Source organism: Homo sapiens, chromosome 1 (genome assembly GCF_000001405.40).
Source record: "Homo sapiens chromosome 1, GRCh38.p14 Primary Assembly".
Taxonomy (NCBI): domain Eukaryota; kingdom Metazoa; phylum Chordata; class Mammalia; order Primates; family Hominidae; genus Homo; species Homo sapiens.
This window is the reverse complement of record NC_000001.11, coordinates 1,779,460-1,793,960: the sequence shown is the minus strand read 5'-3', so window position 1 is coordinate 1,793,960 and position 14,501 is coordinate 1,779,460. Positions and strand designations below refer to the sequence as shown.

General features: G+C 52.3%; 2 protein-coding genes across 38 annotated transcripts in view, besides 8 other annotated features; both read left to right on the top strand.

Moving 5' to 3' along the window:
- Window positions 1–8,675, top strand: part of GNB1 (G protein subunit beta 1) — a 105,802-nt gene extending 97,127 nt beyond the window's left edge. For 26 of the 34 annotated variants that reach the window (XM_047418076.1, NM_001282539.2, NM_001282538.2 and 23 more), the window contains 5 exons: window positions 650–716; window positions 3,365–3,566; window positions 4,692–4,908; window positions 6,524–6,639; window positions 6,908–8,675. In XM_047418076.1, coding sequence (XP_047274032.1) covers window positions 650–716; window positions 3,365–3,566; window positions 4,692–4,908; window positions 6,524–6,630 — 593 coding nt within the window. In that variant the 3' untranslated portion in view covers window positions 6,631–6,639; window positions 6,908–8,675. The remainder of the gene's footprint in view (window positions 1–649; window positions 717–3,364; window positions 3,567–4,691; window positions 4,909–6,523; window positions 6,640–6,907) is intronic. The other 8 variants (XM_047418078.1, XM_017001061.3, XM_017001060.3 and 5 more) reach the window with 1 other exon arrangement.
- Window positions 3,744–3,927: a silencer, noted in NCBI's record as "fragment chr1:1721473-1721656 (GRCh37/hg19 assembly coordinates)". NCBI's record gives its function as "represses an EF-1alpha promoter that drives an FKBP-Casp9 reporter gene in an ReSE screen in HepG2 liver carcinoma cells {active_cell/tissue: HepG2}" and the evidence as "EXISTENCE:reporter gene assay evidence [ECO:0000049][PMID:32094911]".
- Window positions 10,807–10,976: an enhancer, noted in NCBI's record as "active region_37". NCBI's record gives its function as "activates an Ori minimal core promoter by ATAC-STARR-seq in GM12878 lymphoblastoid cells {active_cell/tissue: GM12878}" and the evidence as "EXISTENCE:reporter gene assay evidence [ECO:0000049][PMID:35858748]".
- Window positions 10,807–11,191: a biological region, named in NCBI's record as "Sharpr-MPRA regulatory region 14484".
- Window positions 10,897–11,191: a silencer, noted in NCBI's record as "tiled region #14484; HepG2 Repressive non-DNase unmatched - State 1:Tss". NCBI's record gives its function as "represses a minimal TATA promoter and a strong SV40 promoter by Sharpr-MPRA in HepG2 cells {active_cell/tissue: HepG2}" and the evidence as "EXISTENCE:reporter gene assay evidence [ECO:0000049][PMID:27701403]".
- Window positions 13,286–13,385: an enhancer, noted in NCBI's record as "active region_36". NCBI's record gives its function as "activates an Ori minimal core promoter by ATAC-STARR-seq in GM12878 lymphoblastoid cells {active_cell/tissue: GM12878}" and the evidence as "EXISTENCE:reporter gene assay evidence [ECO:0000049][PMID:35858748]".
- Window positions 13,396–13,465: an enhancer, noted in NCBI's record as "active region_35". NCBI's record gives its function as "activates an Ori minimal core promoter by ATAC-STARR-seq in GM12878 lymphoblastoid cells {active_cell/tissue: GM12878}" and the evidence as "EXISTENCE:reporter gene assay evidence [ECO:0000049][PMID:35858748]".
- NADK (NAD kinase) overlaps window positions 13,447–14,501 on the top strand; it is a 29,283-nt gene continuing 28,228 nt past the window's right edge. For 3 of the 4 annotated variants that reach the window (XM_011542009.3, NM_001353641.2, NM_001198994.2), the window contains exon 1: window positions 13,930–14,056. The gene's annotated coding sequence lies outside the window, so the exon portion shown is untranslated. Of the gene's footprint in view, window positions 13,680–13,929; window positions 14,057–14,501 lie in introns of those variants that run through there. The other variant, XM_047428631.1, reaches the window with a different exon arrangement.
- Window positions 13,476–13,535: an enhancer, noted in NCBI's record as "active region_34". NCBI's record gives its function as "activates an Ori minimal core promoter by ATAC-STARR-seq in GM12878 lymphoblastoid cells {active_cell/tissue: GM12878}" and the evidence as "EXISTENCE:reporter gene assay evidence [ECO:0000049][PMID:35858748]".
- Window positions 13,546–13,715: an enhancer, noted in NCBI's record as "active region_33". NCBI's record gives its function as "activates an Ori minimal core promoter by ATAC-STARR-seq in GM12878 lymphoblastoid cells {active_cell/tissue: GM12878}" and the evidence as "EXISTENCE:reporter gene assay evidence [ECO:0000049][PMID:35858748]".

Below are 14,501 nucleotides of genomic sequence, written 5' to 3'. Positions count from 1 at the left end.
TGCCTTCGTTATCCCTTCCATGACCTGCAGGCCCTTGCCACCCTGACCCTGTGGCCTCGCCGCCTCCTGCCCTGGCTGGGCCCTCTGTTTGGATCCTCCTTCTCTGAGTCTACTCTCGTCCTCCCTCCTCTCCTGGCTTCCATCTTGTGAGGCCCCTACTTTGTCCTCTTCCTTCCCCTAGCACTCCCTTTCTGATGTCCTCTTTCAGTGATTCTCATTCTCTGTCCCTGCTGAGCGTGGGCTGTAGGAGAGCAGGAGGTGTCTGTCTGGTTAAGGCTGCTTCCTGGGCACTGGAGTCAGCGTGCCCTGAATGAGTAAATAGACGAGGGATCCCCAGCCTTTGATGGGTCAAACAGTAAAGCAGATGAAAGATGTGTATGTTTCATGGGTGTGGTTTCTGCTTCTGCCCCCATCACGGAGCTGTGGGTCTCTGTGGGACGTGCTGTCCTGCCTGGCCAGGCTCTCACCCTCACCAGCAGTGCGTGTGGACCTTCTGCTGTGTGCACAGATGGGAATAAAAGGTCACTAGCATGGTGCTGGTCTTACCTTAGACGTAGAGCTTCCACCGGGCCAATGTGTTTCTCTATGTATGAGGCTGGGTGCAAGGCCTGCTGGATTCAGCTCATCACTTAGGCCTGTTCTTTGCCAGGTTACCTGTCCTGCTGCCGATTCCTGGATGACAATCAGATCGTCACCAGCTCTGGAGACACCACGTGGTAAGTACCTGACCCGGGGCAGGCAGTGCCTTGAGAACCCACAGCCCCTGGCACATTCCTCTGTGAACATGGAGGAAATAAGGTTCTTGACATAATATTAGGCCATCTGTAATTTAAGTGGCCTTAAGATTTAAAACACATAGTAGCAATGTGTGAATTCATTATACTTTTTTTTTTTTTGAGATGGAGTTTTGTTCTTGTCACCCAGGCTGGAGTACAATGGCTCAATCTTGGCTCTGCGACATCTGCCTGCCGGGTTTAAATGATTCTCCTGCCTCATCCTCCTGAATAGCTGGGATTACAGGTGCCCGCCACCACGCCTGACTAATTTTTGTATTTTTAGTAGAGACCAGGTTTCACCACATTGGCCAGGCTGGTCCTGAACTCCTGACCTCAGGTGACCTGCCCACCTCGGCCTCCCAAAGTGCTGGGATTACAGGCGTGAGCCTCCGTGCCTAGCCTCATTATACTTCTAATAAATTTACAAAGTTTAATTTTCAGCAGCTGAGAACTAAAATACACATTTTTTTCTTTTTTTTTTTTTTTTTGAGATAGAGTCTCTCTCTGTCTCCAGGCTAGAGTGGAGTGGCGTGATCTCGGCTCATTGCAACCTCTGCCTCCCAGATTCAAGCAATTCTCCCCTCTCAGCCTCCCGAGTAGCTGGGAACTACAGGTGTGCGCCACCACACCCAGCTAATTTTTGTATTTTCAGTAGAGACGGGATTTCACCACGTTGGCCAGGATGGTCTCTTATCCGTTGACCTCGTGATCTGCCTGCGTCAGCCTCTGAAAGTGCTGGGATTACAGGTGTGAGCCCCCATGCCTGGCCAACATAGATATTTTAACTACAATCAGGCTCAAAGTACCTGCTCTTCTTTTTTTTCCCCTCTATATATTTGTACCTCCTTAGGTGATGATAGGTGGGAGTAGGGTGGGTTTTGATTGTCCCTTTCTGATAGCATCATGTCATTGTGAACAATGAGCACAGACTAAAAATAACAGACGTCACAATTCAAGTGATTCCATCAGACTTCATTTTTAGTGTTTTCACCTTACAGGTAAACGGAAGCCCACTTAAATGCTAGAATTTTTTCATTTGTGGCATCAAAGTACTAAATTAAATGTCCAGATAGTTATTTTATGAGAGTCATTTTAGACTTCAGCTGGCCATGTGGGTTTTTCTGGTCTTCTGAGGCATGATTTGGTGGCAGGAGCTGTGCCCAGCCCAGGGCACAGACCCCTAGTCACGCAGTTGGTGGGGTTCACCGAGACATGGGCCCTTAACCAACTTGTCAGCAAAGCATCTGTGGTATTATAAGGTGTCCTCGTTGTATAAATTTCATAGATTTACAAAAGATTTGTCACCTAGATTGTCAATCTTGAGAAGACTTTATTTATTAGAAGATATTTTTAAAGTGCTTCTGTTCATTAATCATTTTTTTCAGACTCTTTTACGTATCTTGCTTCCCTTCTGCAGTCAGTCCCTCAGGCCCTAGAGAGGAGGCTCCCTGTGCAGTGTCTGTTGAGATTGGCTGATTGGATTTGCATTGCCAGGCCCAGCCAGGCTTTCCTCTGAGGCTGACATGAACGGACAGTGCTCTCTGGTGTTGCCTTCCATGGGTCGAGGCACAGGAGAATAGTATGTTGGTGGGCGTGTGGCCCTCACAGCTGTCCTTACACCTGAGCCAGGCTTCTGCTCTGTGCAGGGCTCTGTCAGCGTCTCACCTTTTGACAGCTTGTTAAGCAGAAATGTGATAGAATACCAGGTATGGCCGGGCGCGGTGGCTCATGCCTGTAATCCCAGCACTTTGGGAGGCCGAGGCGGGCGGATCACCTGAGGTCAGGAGTTCGAGACCAGTCTGACCAATATGGAGAAACCCCGTCTCTACTAAAAATACAAACAAAATTAGCCGGGCATGGTGGCGCATGCCTGTAATCCCAGCTACTGGAGAGGCTGAGGCAGGAGAATCGCTTGAACTCGGGAGGCGGAGGTTGTGGTGAGCCAAGATCGCGCCATTGCACTCCAGCCTGGGCAACAAGAGTGAAATTCGGTCTCAAAAAAAAAAAAAAAATACCAGGTGTGATCACTGAGAACTCAGCTGCTCTCCTGTTTGTGATTCCAGGAAAGGGCAGGAGGACCTCAGAATTGCTGTGAGCCATTTGTTTACCTGGCATTGGCCTTCTCCTGCCTGCCTTTTCTGAGACCCTGTGGAGGGGAGGCCAAGGGAGGGCACAGAGGGAGCAGCCACAGATAGAGTCGCGTCCCCTCCGCCATCCAGGGCCTCCACGTAGCTTCCTGCCACCCCTTCCATGCCCATCCATGACCAAAGAGGGGGCACAGCCTCAGTGGTGCTGCTTGAAAAGTGCCCCCAGCTCCCTGTTTGCTGGCATTTGAGTTGAGGTAGCGATCCCGTCATTCTGAAGCCCAGGCCCTGTGCTCATCTCTGTATAATTTTGCTTGCTTTGCTTTGTTTCCCTTCCAAAGTTGTATTACATTTAAATTTGTCTTTAAACAATTTACGTTTTTAAAGTAACAGTGCAGAGGCTCACTGTGGCCCTGGGTGGTTTGAAGGACAGATTGTCTGTCACATGACTAGCCACCCAAGAAGTTAAGGCTGATGTCCCCTTGTCATTCGCTCCTGCTCCAGTGCCCTGTGGGACATCGAGACCGGCCAGCAGACGACCACGTTTACCGGACACACTGGAGATGTCATGAGCCTTTCTCTTGCTCCTGACACCAGACTGTTCGTCTCTGGTGCTTGTGATGCTTCAGCCAAACTCTGGGATGTGCGAGAAGGCATGTGCCGGCAGACCTTCACTGGCCACGAGTCTGACATCAATGCCATTTGCGTGAGTCTGGGTGGAGGTGTGGGGTCGGGTCCTCTGCCGTCTCTGCTAGCCGTTCAGATTGCTAAATTTTAAACTTTTCTGGATTAGATGTTCTCCTTTCTGATCCTTATACAACCTCATGTACAGATGGGGATACAGAAAACTCCCGATGGGAAACTTCTCTGTGTTGACCACTTGTCTCACAGATACTCACAGGGTGTTGTATGCCAGTCCCCGTTCCCACCTCTACAGCTGAGCAGTGGTTGGGATCCTGGAGGGGAAAGACAGTAAGATAACTCAGGCCACCAGTGGTTACAGAGCCTTACTGGTCAGGGGCACAGCTAACCAGGGAACCTGCCCTCCTCTTTAGCACGCGGATGGCTAGGCAGTGTTTCCAGCCCCTGGCCTTGTGAGGAGACTTAGAAGGATGTATCTGTTGGTTGGACAGAGCTCTGCTGCAGTCCTGACCACAGCCTTGGTCAGCCCGCTTCCCTCCTTCCTCCATGAGATTAGCCCTGATGGCTGGCAGCTACAGCAACATGCACACCTGTCAGTGATGACTACTTTCTCACTATCCTTTGGAATAAATTCTACTCTTTGGGGACAGTAATCACAGTGTCCAAGATCACAGTGTTTGTGTGCCTCCCCAGTGCAAATCCCCTCCCATCCCAGTCCCCTGTAGTTCCTCCCCCATCCCCCCACCCTTTTTTTTTTTTTTTTGAGACGGAGTTTTGCTCTTGTTGCCCAGGCTGGGGTGCAATGGTGCAATCTTGGCTCACCGCAGCCTCCGCCGCCTCCCGGTTTCAAGCAGTTCTCCTGCTTCAGCCTCTTGAGTAGCTGGGATTACAGGCGCACGCCGCCACGCCCAGCTAATTTTGTATTTTTAGTATAGATGGGGTTTCTCTATGTTGGTCAGGCTGGTCTCAAACTCCCCATCTCAGGTGATCCACCCGCGTCAGCCTCCCAAAGTGCTGGGATTACAGGCATGAGCCACCGCACCCGGCCCAGCCCTCTGTTCTTACCAGAGCACAGTCTTGCTGGTCTTTGCCTGCTGTGTTCTCTGCAGCCCTACCATTGAGCAATCCATATTCCCAATGTTTCTTTCTGAGCGTTTACATGATGTCTTGATTTGCTTTCTCTTTCCAGTTCTTTCCAAATGGCAATGCATTTGCCACTGGCTCAGACGACGCCACCTGCAGGCTGTTTGACCTTCGTGCTGACCAGGAGCTCATGACTTACTCCCATGACAACATCATCTGCGGGATCACCTCTGTCTCCTTCTCCAAGAGCGGGCGCCTCCTCCTTGCTGGGTACGACGACTTCAACTGCAACGTCTGGGATGCACTCAAAGCCGACCGGGCAGGTACGTGGCCATGGGGCCTTTCTGTGTCTTGTGGACATTTACGTGGTATCTTTAGAGCAAACACAGAGTGGTTGCATAAGCTGCAGTGTTTTAGTATCGGTGGGACTGTGGCATGGCGTAGCAGGAGTGACAGTCGCAAACTGATGGCCCAGCTCTGACCCTCCAGGCAAGTGGACTCCGAGGAGTACCAGCAGATCTTCCCACATGCGTCGGGGAGGGCTCTGGGGAGAGTCAGTGGGCAGGAGAGGGTCAGCTGTGCAGGCTCCAGGGCCCAGCCCCGTGCTTTCCCCTCTGAACTCTGCTTCAGGGGGAGGAGTTCCATGCAGGGACACCTCTGGGTGCCGTTACAGTTAACATATCAAAGGCAAGCGTGTTATTGCCAGGTGTACAAAAGATGAGACTTCCTTACTAAAAATGGTCATTTGGGCATTTGAATTTGAGAACTGTTGACACTTACAGACTTAGATTCATTTGTCTCAGTACCTGGGAGGACAGAAGGGAGCATGGCTCCAGGTCTTGGCCCTTACCGGGGCTTCCTGCTTCCGGATGGGTGCCACTCCCACCTCCTGGTTAAACACATTTCTTTTTCTCCCCAGCCTGGGGGGACCAGAGTGGAGCCATTTCCAGCCAAGTCTCACAGTCACAGTGCTGTTGAAGGGCGGTGGAAGCCAGCCCAGGCCTTGGCAGAGCACACGCCGGCCCCTGTACTCAGCTGTGTGGTGGCTGCAGGAGGTGGAGGAGGGTGGCTGAAATGGGCCTTCGGATCCCCCTGGGAGGAAGTGGAGCTTCTGGCTGGTGATGATCCAAGCCAAGGTTATTGGGAGTGTTGACAGAAGGCCCCCTCATCACATGACAGTGACAGTGCAGTGCCAGTGGTCTCAGCCACCATCGCTACTCCTGTGTTCTGTGCCTTGTGCTGGGCTCTAGGGATCACAGACAAAGGAAAAACGGCTCATGCCTCTAAGCTCCTGTGTTACAGATTGCTTTGAGATTGGGGCGGTTTTGATTTTTTTTTTTTTTTTTTGAGATGGAGTCTCGCTCTGTCGCCCAGGCTGGAGAGCACTGGCACGATCTTGGCTCACTGCAAGCTCCACCTCCTGGGTTCCAATGATTCTCCTACCCTAGCCTCCTGAGTAGCTGGGACTACGGCCCGCACCACCACGCCCTGCTGGTTTTTGTATTTTTAGTAGAAATGGGGTTTCACCATATTGGCCAGGCTGGTCTCAAAGTCCTGACCTCATGATCTGCCTGCCTCGGCCTTCCAACGTGCTGGGATTACAGGCCTAAGCCACTGCGTCTGATGATAGTTTTGATTTTTTTGATAGTGGCCTTTGCTTCTTTTTTTAAGTTTTATAAGTGAGTGCTGAGAAGTCAATGCCAGGGGCTCTGGATTTATCGATTGCGTGTGTGTGCGTGTCTTTGAATTTTAACAAGGCTGGCCATATGCTGCAGGTTAATTCCCCACGTGGATGCAACTTTCCCTCCCTTCCTGGCCGTGGGAGACTCTGGGTCTTGTCCCATGAGAGATGCACCATCCGTCCTCGTCACAACATGGCACACAGGTGAGATCGATGCCTCTGGGCTTTGGTGTGATTCTGCTGTTGTTTGCTCCCAGGTGTCTTGGCTGGGCATGACAACCGCGTCAGCTGCCTGGGCGTGACTGACGATGGCATGGCTGTGGCGACAGGGTCCTGGGATAGCTTCCTCAAGATCTGGAACTAACGCCAGTAGGTAATGCAGCAGCCCAAATGCCCTTCTCTGAGGAGAACTGTGCGTGTTTCTCATAGAACATTTGAAGTTGTCATTAACGGTTTCTAGATAAATGTTGATGTAGCATTGATTTGGAATTGTGTTGTGGGAAACGTTTACAGAAAGCTGAAGTCACGTGCCCTCAGCTGCAGACACTCATGCAGTGATGGGAAGAGCAGTGACCTGGCTGTGCGTCTGCACTTAGATTCTCTGCCTCTTTTCACATTTCTTTAAACTCTGTTTAAAACAGCATGTGGATGCCATGGAGACTGGAAGACCATTCCAACTTGGACGCGTTACCATGAGAGCATATCCTATCCAACCGTACTAACGTGGACACCCTACACCTCCCCTCAGAACTTCAAAAGGGCAAGATCTTTTTTCCTTCACTTATTGCTGAAACCAAGAGCACAATTCCCATTGAGAGAAAGATCTCTGTGCTGTAAACTAAAACAAATTGTGCATTCCTTCCGGGGCCATCGTCTTTGTTTTCTTTTTTGTCTTGAATGAATTTTAAAAGGAAATATATAATAAAAATGTTAACCAGAAGGTAAACTTGAGTGTAATTGTCAGACAGACACACTTTTCCACCAGTGTATTTGAATTTTAGACCAGTGACCCTGTTTTGTGGCATTCATGCAAAACATGCTGAGGGCTTTGTTCATCTGGTCATCGTGTCCAAATTTCAGTCATGTTTGTAGCAAGATTTTGGAAGCATTCATATTTCCTTTTTAAAATGTATTCCTTTGTGTTCAACAGTTAATCAAAACCAGAGAGTCTAGGGCAGCCTCTCTGATGTTGTCAATGATGTAAATTCAGTCCCTGGTTTTTAATTTTCTGTCTGATGTCACAGATCATTGTTGCACACAAACGTGGCATAGAAAAGAACATGTTCAGAAGCCATGGGGCCAAGCACATGCGGGGACGGTCTCAAATGCGTGATCAGAGAATCCTTCACCTTTGCTGAAAAGTGAGCTCAGATCCAGCACCATGTTCCTCCTGACCCATCCTGTCTATCTTCTCAGTTGAGTTTTTAATCTCACTTTGGGTTTCCTTGTGAAGTTGGAGGGAAGTTTATAATAGCCTAACACTACCCCACCCCCAACTAGGAGGAACCTCTGTTTTCAAGAGAGATGCCTGTCCTGTGCTTGGATAGTCAGTCAATTATTTGTGTATGAAACAATGTACAAATCAATGTTTTGAAAATAATGATCTCAGACTTTCTAAGTTAAATTTTAAAAATTTTGATTGTTTGCCATATTGGGTGGGTTTACTCTTAGAATCGCATGCTGTAGAAATGCTCAAAAGTGCATATGGGACTCAGTCCTTAGGTGTTCTTTTTCTTTTAAGAAATAACCTCTTACAGTTGTAACCATTGCGGCTCTGTCCACTTCTCGTTGCTGCTCTGTGGCACATATCGGAAGCAGTACAGCGCGCGGCTCTACACGCTTGGGTAGCGGGATAAGTCACTGTTTTCTTTATTTCTTTAAAAAAAAAAAAGTTCTGTTGCAAACGACTGCTGTTGGATTCTGAGGGTGGGGAGGGAGAGAGAGGGAGGGAGAGGGAGTGAAGAGCCTGCCCTCCTATATGGATTCTTCAGGGCCCTCCACATCTGAGGTGGCTCATTCCCATCACACACAGATTGTCCTGGTGTTCATTTCAAGGCCAGTGTTCAGCAGCAGCGTTTGGAAAGCAGGTTCTGTGGGACCCCCCGCCCCGCCCCCCGCACTCCTTCATAGCAGCAGTAGTGGCTTCTCCATCCTGTTTTCTGCAACATTCTATACAAAACTGTGCTGTGACCTTGCGGTAGGCCTGGATCTGGCAAAGAGAATACAAATGAAACCCCTTCTTTCTCTTTCCGTCCAACAACTCTGTAGAGCTCTCTGCACCCTTACCCCTTTCCACCTTTTGTATTTAATTTTAAAGTCAGTGTACTGCAAGGAAGCTGGATGCAAGATAGATACTATATTAAACTGTACTGTTATTTAAGATGTAATAAAGCAGTTTGACATGAGGGACTTTGGTGTGGTGATTATTTACGGGTCCACTTCCAGTTTGCAACGCGCCCGCTTCCCTAAGCTGTCCCTGTTGCTGTGAGGTCTGACGGGCCTGCTCATGCCAGGCGGTGCCATGGCCGCCACCACGTCACAGAATCCATGAGTGGCGCATTGGCTCCTCGGAGGGGTTCCTGGGAAGCTCCACCTCACAGGCCAGCAGAGCAGGGAGGTCCACCTGCCATCGCCCAGACCCCTCCCCAGGCATAGGCCTTGCCCACAGCACCGTGGGAGTCTCCACAGGCGGCTGCCTTGCCTTTCTCCTCTGCCATTTCCCTCCCTTAGAATGTCTGAGGATGTTACTCCAGAGACTAGCTTTCCTTGGGACTGAACTGAGTGTTCCTCTTGGTCTGAATATAAAGAACTGCATCTAGTAAGAAAAAAATGAGCACTGGCCATGGTAGTGTGGAAAACCATGGCTGTGTGTGTCCCAAATAGCCGCTCCTAGGCTCCAGAACCATCCACTTCCCTGCTTTCCAAACTGGTGATTTTTTAAAATCTTAAATAGGCAATACAAAATTAGCTGGGCATGGTGGCACACGCCTGTAATCACAGCTACTCTGGAGGCTGAGGCAGGAGAATGGCATGAACCCGGGAAGGCGGAGTTTGCAGTGAGCCAAGATCGCACCACTGCACTCCAGCCTGGGTGAGAGAGCAAGACTGCCTCTCAAAAAAAAAAAAAAAGTAATTTTTTAATTCCCATGGCTCCAGCAGCTGGAACTTTTTTTTTTTTTCTCCCTTGATGTGGAGTCTCGCTCTGTGGCCCAGGCTGGAGTGCAGTGGCGCTATCTCAGCTCACTGCAACTTCTGCCTTCTGGGTTCAAGTGATTCTCCTGCCTCAGCCTCCCAAGTAGCTGGGATTACAGGCACGTACCACGACGCCCCGCTAATTTTTTTTTTTTTTTTTTTTTGAGACGGAGTTTCGCTCTTTTTTGCCCAGGCTGGAGTGCAATGGTGCGATCTCAGCTCACTGCAACCTCCACCTCCCAGGTTCAAGCGATTCTCCTGCCTCAGCCTCCTAAGTAGCTGGGATTACAGGCGCCTGCTACCATGCCCAGCTAATTTTTTGTATTTTTAGTAGAGACAGGGTTTCACCATGTTTGCCAGGATGGTCTCGATCTCCTGACCTTGTGATCCACCCACATCAGCCTCCCAAAGTGCTGGGGTTACAGGTGTGAGCCACCGCGCCTGGCCCAGATGCCCGGCTAATTTGTTGTTGTTTTTTGAGATGGAGTCTCGCTCTTGCCCAGGCTGGAGTGCAGTGGCGCGATCTCGGCTCACTGCAAGCTCTGCCTCCTGGGTTCACGCCATTCTCCTGGCTCAACCTTCCGAGTAGCTGGGTCTACAGGTGCCCACCACCACACCCGGCTAATTTTTGTATTTTTAGTAGAGACGGGGTTTCACCATCTTAGCCAGGATGGTCTCCATCTCCTGACCTTGTCATCCGCCCTCCTCAGCCTCCCAAAGTGCTGGGATTACAGGCCGAGCCACCGCACCCAGCCAAACTTTTTCCTAGTAAGTGAAGAAGGCTCTCAGCAGAAAGTACCTGTAGGCCCCCTCCTCCCCTGGGCACCAGAGAACCCAGCAGCCCCTCCTCTAGGCTGGCAGTCCCTGGCCGGAGAGGCTCCCATAGGGCACTTGGGATTCACGGAGCAGGGCCCAGCCGCCCTGCTCCAGGCAAGGTGCTGGGTGTGTTTCTGACGCCACCAAGGGTGCCCATCTGCCAGCACTGCAAGTGACACTATGGCGTTGTCTCCCTGGTGGGGTGACCTGGTGCTGTTTTAGGCTGCTGAAGTGGGTGTGATTGGCAGGCTGAACGGGGTGGGCTCGCCTGGCTTCGTCATCCCCCACTTTTCCCTGAAATAAATCAGTTCTTCATAGACATGCAAGTTCTTCACAAGCCCTAACCCTGCCAGCTGTCTTACAAAAACCCCACTTAAAATCACTAGAGAGTTGAACTTGTCTTGGAGGCGTCAAAAGAAAAAAAAAATTAAAAATTAAATGCAGAGAGTACCTGAGGCTCTTTCCTGGCTGGCAGTTCCTGGGAGGGAGGGGCTCCAGCAGCCGGGAGGCAGGGTGCCGGCCTGCAGTGGCCTATCTTGGTCCCTGCCCAGAGTAAATAAAGGCCGAGCATCTCAGCACGGCTGCCACACCCCCGACTCCACTTCCTCCCTTTGGGGATTCCTGTTGGCTTCTGTGTCCTAGCCTGGCACCCCGCAGACTGAGGGAGCTGGCATGTGGGACCTGGGACCCTCTGGTGCCCCTTCCCCTTGGCTTTGGCCTGGAAGAGCCAGAGCTGAGGGGGACCCCTCCCTGGGGCGGCCTGCCTGTCCCTTGGCGGGCATGGAGGCCACTGCCCCACTTTCTTAGCAAAACAGGAAATGAAAACGGGCGCCAACAACGTGCACTTGGACAGCGGCACTGACTAAGGCAGTGTGGAAAGAGGAGGATAATTCCACACTGGCTGAGTGAACTGCAATCATTTTCAAACTGTAGGCACAGAAATCTAGTTTGTAGATTGCATTAGCCTGGCCTATGCAGGAGCAGCGCCCTTTGTCGCCAGCAGCTCCGCGGTGTGGGGGCCCCTGGCGCGCTTCCTGTGTCCGGGTCACCTGGCTCCGCCCCGCTTGCGCGGGCGCACCTGTCGCAGGTGGACACAGGCAGTGGAGTGACCTGCAGCTCGCTCCGGCTGTGGGCTGTTCCTGCAGGGCCTCGGACCTCCTTTGACCAAGCGGCGCGGGGTCGCCCCTGTGCTCCATGTCCCAGGGATGGAGGTTCCCCACCTCAATTTTACTCTAGCACGTGGCACGCACGTCCACACTTGAGCAGGACAAGGTTTCCGTTCTGTCCCCTCCGTGTCACGCACCTAGCAGAGGCTGGCCCTCAGCAGGATGCGTGGGGAGGCGCGCTCTGCCCACGCGAAACGGGGACACTTCAGCGGCCTGGCGCGGCCCCCCGCTCCCCCCCGAGCCGGACCTGGGAGCCTGAGTGACTGGGGCCAATAGAAGGGCCGGCCGGGAACCGAGCGCTCCCGGGAAAGGCCGCCTCGGCCCCTCCCACTACTCTCTGGCCTCGCCCTGTCCCCTACCCCCACCCCCCAGCTCCCTTTCCTCGCTGGGTGACCTTGAGCAAGTTACTTGGCCTCTCTGTGCCTCTGGCCCCCGCGTGAAAAATGTGGACAATAAACGTACCAGGCTGTGGCCGGGCGCTGTGGCTCACGCCTGTAATCCCAGCACTTTGGGAGGCCGAGGTGGATGGATTACCTGAGATCAGGAGTTCAAGACCAGCCTGGCCAACATGATGAAACCCCGTCTCTGCTAAAAATACAAAAAATGAGCCGGGTTCAGTGGTGTGCGCCTGTAACTCCAGCTCTGGAGGCTGAGGCAGGAGAATGGCTTGAACCCGGGAGGCGGAGCTTGCAGTGAGCTGAGATCATGCCACTACACTCCAGCCTGAGCTACAGAGCGAGACTTCGTCTTATACTAGGCTGCTTGGTAAGGATCTTGTGAGGACACAGGGAGTCCCAGTCCTGCCAGGTGGTTACTGTTGATGATCCCCGCCCACTCTAGGCTCTCACCACTTCAGGGTCCTGGTCCTTGCTGCTGCCTCTGCCTGAGAGAGAAACACTTGTCCCTGGGTACCTTGGTCAAAACTGTACCCCAACCCCTGCCTGCCCCCACCAATTCTGCTTCTTGCCCGTCTGCCCCACTAGAAGGTGAACACCTGATGGACTTTGGTTTCCACTGTTGAATCCTCAGTATGCCCTGCACATGGCTGGCATCCTGGGAAAGAGGTTGCCCCTCGCCCCAAACCAGGCCAAACAGAAGACTGTCATGTGAGCAGATCCAGACACTGGCCCCTGCAGACGCCCCTATCCTGGCTTTCAGCCTGGGCAGGGCCTGTGCCGGGTGCTGGCTGGAGGCTGGATGAGATGACCAGATAGCCTGCCATACTGATGTCCTTCACTGGGAGCCTCAGTCCTTCCCAGTCATCCTTTCCCCAGGCTCCAGGCCACTTACCCTTGTGGGTTCTGGGCAGACTTCGTTCACCCAGTTTACTGGAGCCAGGCCACCTGAAGCCAACTTCCCTCTCTCCTCAGCCTCCCCAGGAGCAACCTGTACCCCAGTGCACCCCATCCTGCTCCATCCCTCATGGCCTCCGTTCCCCCTTCTCCCTCCACCCTCCCCATCCCTGCTGACCCCCAGAAGAGGATGGGTCCAGGTTTTGGGGGTTCTGAAGTAAACAACATGGGAGCCATCCTTAAAGAATACAAAAAACAATGCGAAATTATGTGAAGAGTCCACTGCCACCTTGAGCAATGGCAGCCCTGGGGCTGAGGAAGGTCAGGGCAGGGGATGCCACCCACTGCTGCCCCATCCCTGGGGCCTGGTCAGGCAGGAGGGGGCCTTTCCTGACCCCCAATCCCTTGAAGGCAGAGCCTCTTCCTGTGCACCATCTGGCAGAAGCCCCCATGATAGCCCTGGACCCTTCTGTTCCTGCTGCGGGAACATCTCTTCCCTTTGGTCTCAGCCCAAGCAAAGCTGCCTCTTGGACCATTCTGGGTGCCCTAAGGAGCCTTCCCAGCTTTGGTCTTAGTTATTGCTGGCCAGGCCTGGGGTGAGGTGTGGGTGTGAGATCTTGGCCCCTGAATCTTCAAGGTCATATCCGGGGCCTGCCCTGAGAAATTGCACAACCTGTCAGCTGAAGGAAACCACAGCCCTGGTTTTGTTTTCTCATCTCTGAAACAGGGAAGCTCTCCTGCAGGCAGTGCCCAGGCCCAGGGTAGACAAAGGGTTTTCATGCCACAGACGGGGCAGCTGCTGGAGCTCCCTACACAGCGGGACACGCGAAGGGCACCTGCTGTGTGACCTGGGGCCCACGACAGTCACTGGTTGCCTCTGCAGAAGCAGTTGACTGCCTCCACTCTAGAAGATTCTACTGAGGCCTGGCTCAGTGCCTGGCTTGTGGGTGCGCCATCTAGATCAAGCATTATTATGCTAATGATCATATGCAAAAACTCAGCTCACGCATTATTATGTTAATGATCTTATCCGCCCCCTCTCCCCCCGCCAAAGAAAAAGAACTGGGCAGCTCAAGGCCGCTTCTGTGGGTGTGGCTGGTGGTCACTTTGAAACAGTTGGGTTTGCAAAATAACCCCGGGAGAAGTTACAGAGCTTAAGAAATCCCCCAAGTTCTCATGATCCTTGCTTCCCTTTCCAGTCACCCTTGGTGCCCTGTACTTCACTGTGGTCCTGAACTGAAGAGCTGTGTTTTTCAGGAAGACTTGGCCAGGCCGTGTTCCGTGTCTCTGGATTCAAGTCCCAGGAGTCCTGACCAGAGAGCAGGTATGCGGGTGTGGGGAAGGGCTGCAGAGGACTCAGGTCCACACCGACCCTGGGCCAGGTGATCACACAGAAAGTATAGACAGGGACTGAACCTCAGAAAACAATGGCTGGGCCAGGTGCAGTGGCTTACGCCTATAATCCTAGTACTTTGGGAGGCCGAGGCGGGTGAAGTTTGAGACCCAGCCTGGGCAAAATGGTAAAACCTCATCTCTACACACACACACACACACACACACAAATATATATATATATGAATGAAGTAGTCGAGTGTGGCGGGACCTACTTGTAGTCCCAACTACTAGGGAAGCTGAAGTGGAAGGATCGCTTGCACCTGAGAGGTCAAGGCTGCAGTGAGCCGTGAGCCCGCCACTGGACTCCGGCCTGGGGGACGAATGAGACACTATCTCAGAAAAACAAAACAATGTCTGGCACCTGGGGGACCAGC